This window comes from Homo sapiens, chromosome 11, assembly GCF_000001405.40.
Source record: "Homo sapiens chromosome 11, GRCh38.p14 Primary Assembly".
Taxonomy (NCBI): Eukaryota; Metazoa; Chordata; class Mammalia; order Primates; family Hominidae; genus Homo; species Homo sapiens.
The window spans coordinates 108,319,733-108,332,447 of NC_000011.10; the positions used below are offsets into that span (position 1 = coordinate 108,319,733).

Below are 12,715 nucleotides of genomic sequence, written 5' to 3' on the forward strand. Positions count from 1 at the left end.
ATTTAGAACCAGGCAGAGTATCTGAGTAATTTCCTTTTTTTCTGCTTAAAGAATTTAAATGACTCATAAAATTTGTATTTCTTACCAAAAATTCTAGAAATGCATTTTTTAGAATGGAGAAATGTTAATTTAAAAATTTTGTCCTTTGGTGAAGCTATTTATACATGTATATCTTAGGGTTCTGTTTTTAAGTATATTTTTTTCTTTGACTTATCTCACAGCAAAGAAGTAGAAGGAACCAGTTACCATGAATCATTGTACAATGCTCTACAATCTCTAAGAGACAGAGAATTCTCTACATTTTATGAAAGTCTCAAATATGCCAGGTATTATGAAAAGACAAAGTTACTGTATTTTAACATTTAATGTCATGGCTTCTTTTCTGAAAACTTGAGAAACAATTTTAATGTAAGGATTTGCATTGATGAAGAGATAAAGACTTGGTGGCTGTGATCAGATGTTTCCTTGTAATTCTCTGCCCTCCTTCAAAACAAATTGTTTCTGGGATTCCAGGTTCATTCTTTACCCTGACCCTTCAAGAAAGTTTTGGTGATTCCCTCTTTGTTCTCTTCCTATACAAGTATCCTGAGAATTATATCTTGTCTCTTTTGGTAATTGTATGGCATTTAGTGTTCTAATTTATAAAATTGTAACTCACGGTTAATACTTACAAACTTGTTTTGAGGCACAAATGTGATGAGGCATGAGGAAATAATTATAATGGGGTAAACAAATGCAGCATTTTTAAAGCCGTAGTGACTTAATAAATCCTATGTTTATCACAGAAATAAAATTTACTATCATTTAAGTGCCTATGATATGCTAGCCACTGTTAGACTCTTTTCATATGTATTCTCTAATCATGACAATAACTATGGATGTGAAAAAAGGCTTAGAGAAGTCCAGTAACATGCCCAAAGTTACACAGCTATAAGTGACAGAACTGCAATTTAGATCTAGGTCTGTGTGATTCCAAGGTTTACAGTTGATCCTTGAACCACTTGGAGGTTAGGAGTGCTGAGCCCCTCCTCCTCACACATTTGAAAATGTGAGTATTACTTTGACTCCTCAAAAGCTTAACTACTAATAGCTTACTGTTAACCAGAAGCCTTACCAATAACATAAGCAGTAGATTAACACATATTTTGTATAAGTATTATAATACCATATTCTTACAATAAAGTAAGCTAGAGAAAAGAAAATGTTATTGAAAATTATAAGGAAGAGAACATATATTTACTAGTAAGTGGAAGTGGGTCATCATAAAGGTCTTCATCCTTGCCACCTTCATGTTGAGTAGGATAAGGAGGAAGGGTTGGTCTTGCTATCTCAGGGGTGGCAAGGTGGGAGAAACTCTGAGTGTAAGTGGACCATGCATTTAAATTTGTGTTGTTCAAGGGTCAGTTGTATTTTGTTTCCACTGCTATTTTGTATTCACTGTTGCTTGTTAGTATTATTAGATCAGTAGCAAAGCCTATGATGAGAACTCTTTAACAACAAATTTAAACATTTATTTCCCTGAAAACCTCTTCTTTATTTTCAGAGTGTCTTTTCTTTTTTGCTACTAGAGTAAAAGAAGTGGAAGAGATGTGTAAGCGCAGCCTTGAGTCTGTGTATTCGCTCTATCCCACACTTAGCAGGTTGCAGGCCATTGGAGAGCTGGAAAGCATTGGGGAGCTTTTCTCAAGGTATGTAATTCGTATGACTTTGTTATCCTAAAGTGCAGCTTTTCTGTTACCAATAGTGACTTTAAAAAATAAAAACTATAGGCCGGGCACGGTGGCTCATGCCTGTAATCCTAGCACTTTAGAAGGCTGAAGTGGGTGGATCACTTGAGGTCAGGAGTTCAAGACCAGCCTGGCCAACATGGTGAAACCCTATCTCTACTAAAAATACAAAAATTAGCCAGGTATGGTGGTGGGCGCCTGTAATCTCAGCTATTCAGGAGGCTGAGGCAGGAAAATTGCTTGAACCCAGCACAACAGGCAGAGGTTGTGGTGAGCCGAGATTGCGCCATGGATTCCAGCCTGGGCAACAGAGCGAGACTCTGTCTCAAAAAAAAAAAAAACTATGTAGAGACCAAATGTGTGTGTTTCTTTCCTTTTATCAAGATATAAGTTGATTAGCCCTAGTGAATTGTGCTTTTATTAAACATTTTCCAAAATAGTCATTGTAAAAATTTAAGTTTTAAAAATTCAGCTTAAGTGTGCTTTTCTCTTTATAACTTTTTCCCTGGCCTACCAAGATAAAATTGTTTCCTCATGTTTTTGCATAGCATGATAACACTCCATTCAGTTTTAGCACTACATTGTATTACTGTCATTTTATCTCTGCCTTGCTAAACTAGAAGCTCCCTTAAAAGTGGGAACCATTCTATTGTTTATTGTTGTATACCTAGTGTTTTTGTTTTGTTTTCTTTTTTTTCTTTTTATGTTTTTTTGAGACCAAGTCTCGCTCTGTTGCCCAGGCTGGAGTGTCATGGTATAATCTCAGCTCACTGCAGTCTCCACCTCCCAGGTTCAAGCGATTCTCCTGCCTCAGCCTCCCGAGTAGCTGGGATTATAGGTGCCCCGACAATGCCTGGCTAATTTTTCTACTTTTAATAGAGACGGGGTTTCGCCTTGTTGGTCAGCCTGGCCTCGAACTCCTGACCTCAGGTGATCCACCCGCTTCAGCCTCCCAAAGTGCTGGGATTGCAGGCGTTAGCCACCATGCCCGGCCCCCAATGTTTTCTCTTCTGGTGACTGATAATTATGTTTAGTAAACATTCAGTGGATAGTGGATGTCAGTTAATTTGTAAAAGGTGTTCAGAAGGAATTGCTTCTTATAATGGTGAGAGGGAAATGATCCAGGGATTTTGGAAGATGAAATAGTATAGTTACTCAGGATGCTGTAGATCTAAATTCTTTCCTTTTATCAAGATATAAGTTGATTAGCCCTAGAGAATTGTGCTTTTATTAAACATTTTCCAAAATAGTCACTGTAAAAATTCAAGTTTAAAAAATTCAGCTTAAAAGTGCTTTTCTCTTTATAACTTTTTCCCTGGCCCACCCAGATAAAATTGTTTCCTCATGTTTTTGCACAGCATGTTACACTCCATTCGGTTTTAGCACTGCATTGCATTACTGTCATTTTATCTCTGCCTTGCTACTAGATAAAAGAAGTGGAAGAGTTGTGTAAGGGCAGCCTTGAGTCTGGCAGGATGACAAAGTAAAGTGTTTTGGGTCCTCAGTTTCCTCATTTCTAAAGTCAGGGATTTGTATTCGATGGTCTCTAAAGCCCCTTTTAGCCCTGCTATTTTGAATTACTATTATTATTATACGAGGGAAGAAAGAGGATATAAATGACTAAGGTCACTCTACCTTTATGCAAAAATAAAATTTGGAATATGTTTTGGAAGTAGAAAAGAGAAGGAAATTTTAGAGTCAGAAGAAAATAATAATAGTTTTTTCAAAATGACATAGCAGAAGACATACATATTAATGTGGCTTAGGAGGAAAATAAAGGAACAAAAGTCTTTTCTGCTTTCATTCATAAGTACATTGGCAGTACTTACTGCCAGAAATCAAGAAATTTTTCCTCTGAATGAAAGATTATCCTGCTGAAAAGAGTACAGAATTCTTTAAGAAACAGTGAATAGAATGGTAGTAACCAGAGGCAGGGAAGGGTGTTGTGGAGGGAGAGGATGAAGAGGGGCTGGTTAATGAGTGAAAAAACACAGGTAAATAGAAGAAATAAGATCTAGTGTTTGATAGCACAATAGGGCAACTGTAGTTAACAGTAATTTACTGTATATTTTTAAATAGCTACAAAAGAAGATTTGGAATGTTTCCAACACAAATGATAAATGTTTGAGATCATGGATATCTCAATTACCCAAATTTGATCATTACACATTGTATGCTTGTATCAAAATATCACACGTACCTCATAAATATGTACAACTATTATGTATCCATAAAAATTAAAAATAAATTTTAAAAAGAAACACCTAAAGAATAATCTGGCTGTTTCTTTGGTAGAGAAATAGGAAGAAGAGAAGCAGAGGGAAGGTTGGATGAACTGGTGCACAAATGCTTATGCTCTCAGATTACATTCCATTCATATACATCAACCAAAACATTAAATAATAACAAACTAAATGCAGAAGCAGAGATAAGAATTCATCTCGTTCTGTTAATCCAGACATTAAAGAGATTTGCAAAAATGCAAAACAGTGCCATGCTCACTAAGTTTTGTTTTGTTTTGGGAAGTATACAGTTGAAATTCTTTATCTACAGGTTTCCATCTATGGATTCAACCAACCGCAGATCAAAAATATTTGAAAAAAAAATTTTAAAGAATAGGGTATAACACTTATTTACATAGCATTTACATTATAGTAGGTATAATATGTAATTAGAGATTTATGTATAACCTGTGCACATTCTCCTATTACACGTAATCTAGAGGTTATGTGTAATACTTTTTGGAAATGTTTAATAAAAGCACAATCTAGAGGTTACGTGTAATAGGAAAATGCCCTGCCATTTTAAATAAGGGACTTTGAACATCAGCATTATCAAGGTGTCTTGGAACCAATTTTCTGCAGATACAGAGAAACTACTGTAGTTATTTTTCCTAAAAATTGTTATTTATGATATATAGTAGATTTATTATTTTTGAATAAATTAATACATTTTAGATTTTTCTCAGTCTTTCTAATATGATATCATATCTAATATCAGTAGATATGGTCCAACGATCGAAAGTTCTTTGGGGTCTTCAATAATTTGTTTGATTGTAAAGGAGTTCCGCAAAAAGTTTGAGACCTGCTGTGGTAGGGTCATTTAGAGAGGAATTGAAGTTTTGGTTCCTAGCATTTTTGTTACTGTTCCTTCCCTATCAAGCAACTAAAAGAGCTTTCATTTCTTAGTCATCACTTTGTCATCTTACTCTCCCTGCTTCCTCTTTCTTATTTCTTTCAATAAATGTCCCTGAAGGATTGGGTAGTATTTCATAGTTCAGTTATTTGGGAAGGATACTATTCATATAAACTAATTGTGCAATATGCCTTTTCTGTTCCTTTAATAATGTTGGTAAATGAAACCTTTGCCAGATGCCAGCTTTTCCTTCACTGGATTGTGATTTTTTTGACAGCTATAATTATGCATCAAGTCATCCCCAGTAGGGGGTCCCTCATTTCCTTGCTGACATGTCCTCATTACTACAGGCAGTATTGAAGCAGGACTAAAGATGGAGGCATTCTTTATGATAGGTCTGATGAATATGTTCTTGTTTCAGAAGAGTATTTAGAAGGGCTGCTTTTTGTAATGTCAGAGTATTAAAAATTTTTTTTGATGTTTGTCATCTGTGACCTCTCTGCTAATAACTCTTAAGAGCTCTGACCGCATAGCATTTTGTAGTTTTCTAAATTTTGATCCATATGTAGGATTATTTACAAGTTCTAGTCTTGTCACTACAAAAGTTCCTTTGTATTATTATAATATTATATCGTAAGTTCCAGAACTTACATAGTTTTTTTTTTTTTTTTTTTCATTTCTCTTGCTTACATGAACTCTATGTCGTGGCATTCAGATCAGTCACACATAGACAACTCTCTGAAGTATATATTAAGTGGCAGAAACACTCCCAGCTTCTCAAGGACAGTGATTTTAGTTTTCAGGAGCCTATCATGGCTCTACGCACAGTCATTTTGGAGATCCTGATGGAAAAGGAAATGGACAACTCACAAAGAGAATGTATTAAGGACATTCTCACCAAACACCTTGTAGAACTCTCTATACTGGCCAGAACTTTCAAGAACACTCAGGTAAATACAATTTAAAACTATGTCATCTTACCTCTTGACTTTCCTTTTATTATTTAAAAAACAGAAAGCCTGAGGGAAAAAGAAATGTCATTAAGAGATAGAGATCTCTATTAATATATAGTAAAAATAATTGTTTAAGAGTTCCCATTTTGGAATTAGATCTGACTTTTAAGCCTTGGGCAAGGGTACTTAATCTTTTCTCAACCTCAATTTCCTGGTTATAAAATGAGAAGATACGTAACTTACTATATTGATAACAATTCAGTGATTTTATATACTGTGTGTATGTACACACAGATACACATACATACATATAGAGAGAGACAGACAGACAGACAGATAGGCAGACGTGGGGTGGGGAGATGTCATGCAGACAGAGAGGTCCTTAAGATAGTCCCTGACAAGTAGTTAAGTCCTCAATGAATGGTAGTTGCTGCTTTCATTATTATTATTATTCATGGTAGTAGTATCAGTAGTAAAAGTATTTATTCCCATATGTCATTTTCATTTCAGCTCCCTGAAAGGGCAATATTTCAAATTAAACAGTACAATTCAGTTAGCTGTGGAGTCTCTGAGTGGCAGCTGGAAGAAGCACAAGTATTCTGGGCAAAAAAGGAGCAGAGTCTTGCCCTGAGTATTCTCAAGCAAATGATCAAGAAGTTGGATGCCAGCTGTGCAGCGGTTTGTTTTTTTTATTGGCTGGATTAGTGTTTTACTGTTATTTAAAAAAACACAAATGTACTTTAAAATATTTTTAATAACAATTTTATTAGAGCCTTGAAATTAGTAATTTATTAACAAGATATTGTAAAACTAGTCTTGAAAATTAATTTGTAAATGAAGTTTAGAAACTTTTTCCTATATATCACAATTCTATCAGTCCATCATGTGGTCGATTCATTTAATATATCCCAGTATTAAGCCTTTAACTTCCTATAGAATTCAAGAAAGGTATGTGGGAAATGAATGAAATAGCTACTCTAAATTTGAAATGACAAGTGAAAAAAGGGAAGAGGAAATGAATGAGAGAACTAAATTAGAAAATAAAAGCAAGTTGGGACAATTAGGTTGTCAATCCAAATGCTTTGAAAATATCACATCTAATATTTTATCTAACATTACCTGTTGGTTTTTGCAAACTTATGTTGCTACTTCAGCTGTAAACCCAGCATACACACTGGATAAAGTAGAGGCATTGGTGTCCCCAAGGTTTGTCTACAGTGGTGTCCCACAGACATGTACCTGCTTAGTGAATATCAGCTCACTGTGCTTTATTATTTATTTATTTATTTATTTTTTGAGACGGAGTCTTGCTCTGTCACCCAGGCTGGAGTGCAGTGGTACGACATCGGCTCACCGCAACCTCCACCTCCCTGGTTCAAGCAATTCCCCTGCCTCAGCCTCCCTTGTAGCTGGGATTACAGGCACATGCCACCATGCCCAGCTAATTTTTTTGTATTTTTAGTAGAGATGGGGTTTCACCATGTTGGCAAGACTGGTCTCGAACTCCTGAGCTCAGGCAATCTACCCGCCTTGTCCTCTGAAAGTGCTGGGATTACAGGCGTGAGCCACCACGCCCGGCCTTTACTGTACTTTTTGATGTTGGGCACTCATTGTATAGCATCTTCTGTTATTAGAGAAATCATTATACCAAAGCACTGAGTGCCAATATGATATGTGTAAATATTGCTTAATAGTATTGGCCCTGAAGTATGTGCTGTCTGGAGTTACCCAACTTCCTTGTACCTCAGTTTTCTAATCTGCAAATTGGGGTAATAATAGTACTTATTTAATAGGATTCTTGTGAGAATTAAATGAGTTAATATATATAAAGCCTTTACAAAGTGTCTGACATATATAAGTACTCAATAAATGTGACTTGCTCCAATAATGGCAATAATAATAATAAACAGAGGATGATCATTTCCTACATGGGATTATTAAAATAGTTGTATGGCAAAAGCAGATGAGGAAAAACTTTTTTTTTCCCACCCACCAAGGAAAAACATTTTTAACCTGCTTTTTTCCCCGTACATGAAGGGCAGTTGGGTACAGTCATGGTAATGCATTATATTTTAAGATTTTGCCTTTCTTATACAGAACAATCCCAGCCTAAAACTTACATACACAGAATGTCTGAGGGTTTGTGGCAACTGGTTAGCAGAAACGTGCTTAGAAAATCCTGCGGTCATCATGCAGACCTATCTAGAAAAGGTAAGATTTTTGGAGCAACCCTTAAGATAGTTACTTAGCATGAATATGCTTCATCTTTTCATCAAGATCAATATATTTCCAAAGCAAATAAAAGTATGGTTTTATTTTTCTATATATTATTACTGTTGTAGCTCTGTATAGTCTCTAGGGTGGAGTGAAACATTGTTACAAAACAAAGCAGCCAATTTTGAAAGTAAGCCCAAGTATAGTATCTCTTCTTCCTCCTTCCTACCTCCACTACCAGCTACCCTTTCAGCAGGTTGCTTCTGATCATTTCTTCATTTATGCATCTACAAAAATAACTGATTAAGAATAGGCAAGTCAGCCCTTGCTCTTCATTAGCCCAGCCACCCACAAGTAAAGGCTTCAATATACTAGCCCCTTTGACTTTCCTGTTTCTCCCTCTTATTCCTTTAGATTCACTAATTTTGGAAATAGTTACCTCACTAAATAAGTGTAACATGAAACACATGATGCGATTGTCTTTCTTTTCTTTTCTTTTCTTTGAGATGAAGTCTCTCTCTGTCGCCCAAGCTGGAGTGCAGTGGCGCAATCTCGGCTCACTGCAACCTCTGCCTCCTGGGTTCAAGCGATTCTCCTGCCTCAGCTTCCCAAGTAGCTGGGACTACAGGAGTGTGCCACCACACCCGGCTAATATTTTTTATTTTTAGTAGAGACGGTTTCGCCACATTGGCCAGTCTGGTCTCGAACTCCTGACCTCAAGTGATCCACCTGCCTCGGCCTCCCAAAGTGCTGGCATTACAGGCTTGAGCCACCACACCCAGCCTGATTGTCTTTAAATTTTATAAAGTTCTCTGTTTTTGCAGAGTTCTTTACAAGTATTAGCTGTCTGGGTTATTTCTACACTGTCAAAGTTGTTTTGAAAAGTCAAGAAAATACCATAGTTCAGGGCTGTCCAATCTTTTGGCTTCCCTGGGCCACATTGCAAGAAGAATTGCCTTGGGCCACACATAAAATATACTAACATTAATGATAGCTAATGAGCTTAAAAAAAATCACAAAAGAAATCTCATAATGTTTTAAGAAAATGTACGAATTTGTGTTGGGCCACATTCAAAGCCGTCCTGGGCCACATGCGGCCCATGGGCCGTGGGTTGGACAAGTTTGCAATAGTTCATATAATTTAGCTAGCTTTTATATGTATATAAGTTAAATTTTAGTGTATTACCTTAATTTGAGTGATTCTTTAGATGTATTTAGTATTTGTAAATATAATTTAAATTGGTTGTGTTTTCTTGAAGGCAGTAGAAGTTGCTGGAAATTATGATGGAGAAAGTAGTGATGAGCTAAGAAATGGAAAAATGAAGGCATTTCTCTCATTAGCCCGGTTTTCAGATACTCAATACCAAAGAATTGAAAACTACATGAAATCATCGGAATTTGAAAACAAGCAAGCTCTCCTGAAAAGAGCCAAAGAGGAAGTAGGTCTCCTTAGGGAACATAAAATTCAGACAAACAGGTAACTAGGTTTCTACAAGTGACAATTTTATGTTCACCAGTTAACTGAGTGAGTGTTTTTGCATAGAAAGAGTGACTTGGTCTTTTTATCTGATATAGTTTTGAGCTCTAAAGGTCGGCTTAACTATATATAGATTATCTTGGTCTTTTGGGTTCTTTTCGGTTTTTGTTTTTTGTTTTTTTTTTTGAGACAAGGTCTCACTCTGTCACCCAGGCTGGAGTACAGTGGCGTGATCACTGTACTCCAGCTCACTGCAACCTCGACCTCCTGGACTCAATTGATTCTCCCCCTGAGCCCCCGAAATAGCTGGGGCTACAGGTGCACGCCATACCTGGCTAATTTTTGTATTTTTTGTAGAGATGGGGTTTTGCCATGTTGCCCAGGTTGGTCTCAAACTCATGGGCTCAAACGATCTGCCCACCTTGGCCGCCCAAAGTGCTGGGATTACAGGTGTGAGGCACTGTGCCCTGTCTGTCTTGGTCCTACTGTAGTTAATCACAAATTAGTATGTAAGATATTGACGTGTTCTTTTGTGAATAATTCATGCTCTGCTTCTAAGTTCATTGTGGAGAATATAGATATTAGCTTTCTGTTTTGCTTTTTTGGTTTGTTTGTTGGTATCATAGTGGAAAAGGAGATAGATATTGAAATTAATTACAAAAGTTACCTATTTTGATGTAATTAAATCCCTTTATTTAAGCCTGTCTTGAATCTGTATATTTTAGTGTAAGCAGAGGTGTAAGTTAGCTAAATAGCTTGGGGAGAGTCCCCTTTGTCCTTTGATGCTTAGGAAGGTGTGTGAATTGCACAGTTAAGACAAAAGTAAGTTTATTCCCTTTATAATCCTTAGAAGTTTGCTTTTTTCCCTGGGATAAAAACCCAACTTTTTTCATTAAATGTTGTATATCATGTGTGATTTTGTAGTTCTGTTAAAGTTCATGGCTTTTGTGTTTTACCTTAATTATTCTATGCAAGATACACAGTAAAGGTTCAGCGAGAGCTGGAGTTGGATGAATTAGCCCTGCGTGCACTGAAAGAGGATCGTAAACGCTTCTTATGTAAAGCAGTTGAAAATTATATCAACTGCTTATTAAGTGGAGAAGAACATGATATGTGGGTATTCCGACTTTGTTCCCTCTGGCTTGAAAATTCTGGAGTTTCTGAAGTCAATGGCATGATGAAGGCAAGTGTTACTCAGCCCAATATTCTACCCTGTGCTTGAAAAACTTAGACATAAGCCCCTTGATGTCAGGAATCGTGTATACCTCTTTGTATTCCTAGCACTTGGTCCAGTGCTCTACACATAAGTAGCATTTTGTAGTTTTCTAAACTTTGATCCATATTTAGGATTATTTACAAGTTCTAGTCTTGTTTCTACAAAAGTTCCTTTGTATTATATAAGCTGACAAGCTGTAAATGATGCAAGTTTGTGTGGAGGTGATAGAATTTAGCTTGGTCCTATGTCTTTGCAGTTACCATAGGAGAGGGTCTAGAATGGGGCATTAGATTGGAGGATTTAGAAAGCAGTTAAAGATGATGTGATCACAGGTGGGTTTTCCCCCTGCTGCAGAAATATGGGATTTTTACAATAAATTACTTTTGTAAGTAGAGAAAATATATTTTTCAGAAAATGTCAAGACAGCAGTATTGTATAAGTTTTTCTTTGAAAACCTTAGATTATAGTGATGACACCTAATATTAAATTTAAGTTGACAAGCTATATATTGTTAGTCAATTTGAAGGTTAGAGATAAAATGTTTCTCCTGCAGGAAAATAATAAGACTCATAATAGATACAGTCAATCTCTGCTGTAGTATACACTAAATATTACTTTTGGCCTATGGGGAAAAGCAATTACTTCATTTTATTGTACACTGACTTCTCAGGAATCAAGATCACAGTCACACTCAGATCACATTTGTCTTCCTTAGATTTTTTGGAATATAAACAGTACCAAGTATTCTAGTTCTGAATCCAGTTTAATTTAGGACCAAATATTTTGATTTACCAATGCATTAATCTAGAGTACCCATTAGAAAGACCTTCAGATAAGAAAAGAAATGAAGGAAAACAATATAGTTAGTGAAGTTTTGTTAACCACTTGTGCTAATAGAGGAGCACTGTCTTAAAATAACTTACTTGCTTAGATGTGAGAATATTTGAAATACCTTGTTTCTTAATTTTGTGTCTTTTTTTTAATGGTAGAGAGACGGAATGAAGATTCCAACATATAAATTTTTGCCTCTTATGTACCAATTGGCTGCTAGAATGGGGACCAAGATGATGGGAGGCCTAGGATTTCATGAAGTCCTCAATAATGTAAGTAAACCTGAAAATCAAACCACAATAATTATTTTTATTCTATTATTACTATATATTATATAAAGTATATATACCATTCCCTCTAAGAAATGGAAATACAAAATTTTGTATTTTTTGTCTTCTCACATCACATAAGTTACTCATTTTCTCTCTCTAATTCCTCATAGGCCTCTGCCTTTTTCTCACACATGCAGGCATACACGCTCTACCCACTGCAGTATCTAGACAGTAATACACATTTTAATGTTAAGCAAAATGAAAAATATGGATTATATTTTTTTGTTTATTTGCATAAATCTAATAGTTCTTTTCTTACAGCTAATCTCTAGAATTTCAATGGATCACCCCCATCACACTTTGTTTATTATACTGGCCTTAGCAAATGCAAACAGAGATGAATTTCTGACTAAACCAGAGGTAGCCAGAAGAAGCAGAATAACTAAAAATGTGCCTAAACAAAGCTCTCAGCTTGATGAGGTATTTGGATTAAACATACGTACCTTTTAGAAGTGTGATATTCAGTCTTTCCTAGAATATTTCTTTTTAAAATCTTGTGTTATTAAGATGCCATCTAAAATCGGTTCAAGGCTGGCACGGTGGCTCACGCCTGTAATCCCAGCACTTTGGGAGGCTGAGGCGGGTGGATTACTTGAGGTCAGAAGTTCGAGACCATCCTGGCTGACCGACACAGCAAAACCCTGTCTCTACTAAAAATGCAAAAAACAGCTGGGCATGGTGGTGGGCACCTGTAGTCCCAGCTACTCGGGAGGCTGAGGCAGGAGAATCACTTGAACTCGGGAGGCGGAGGTTGCAGTGAGCCAAGGTTGCGCCATTGCACTCCAGCCTGGGCAACAAGAGCGAAACTCTGTCTCAAATTAATTAATTAA

At 36.3% G+C, this 12,715-nt stretch overlaps 2 protein-coding genes across 29 annotated transcripts in view; one reads left to right on the forward strand and one right to left on the reverse strand.

Moving 5' to 3' along the window:
* The window catches only part of ATM (ATM serine/threonine kinase), a 146,036-nt gene that overhangs the window by 96,666 nt on the left and 36,655 nt on the right, over nt 1–12,715 (forward strand). For all 15 annotated transcript variants that reach the window (XM_011542840.4, XM_047426977.1, XM_006718843.5 and 12 more), the window contains 9 exons: nt 222–326; nt 1,569–1,688; nt 5,578–5,812; nt 6,326–6,493; nt 7,913–8,026; nt 9,289–9,506; nt 10,482–10,689; nt 11,712–11,825; nt 12,147–12,305. In XM_011542840.4, the coding sequence (XP_011541142.1) occupies nt 222–326; nt 1,569–1,688; nt 5,578–5,812; nt 6,326–6,493; nt 7,913–8,026; nt 9,289–9,506; nt 10,482–10,689; nt 11,712–11,825; nt 12,147–12,305 (1,441 nt within the window). The remainder of the gene's footprint in view (nt 1–221; nt 327–1,568; nt 1,689–5,577; nt 5,813–6,325; nt 6,494–7,912; nt 8,027–9,288; nt 9,507–10,481; nt 10,690–11,711; nt 11,826–12,146; nt 12,306–12,715) is intronic.
* Nucleotides 1–12,715, reverse strand: part of C11orf65 (chromosome 11 open reading frame 65) — a 161,363-nt gene that overhangs the window by 11,214 nt on the left and 137,434 nt on the right. For 3 of the 14 annotated variants that reach the window (NR_147053.3, XM_047426471.1, XM_047426470.1), the window contains one exon: nt 11,467–11,835. The exons of the other annotated variants lie outside the window; for them this stretch is intronic. Coding sequence is in view for 1 of the 3 variants with exons in the window: in XM_047426471.1 (XP_047282427.1) it covers nt 11,818–11,835 (18 nt within the window). In the remaining 2 variants the exon portion in view is untranslated. Of the gene's footprint in view, nt 1–11,466; nt 11,836–12,715 lie in introns of those variants that run through there. 14 annotated transcript variants of the gene reach the window in all.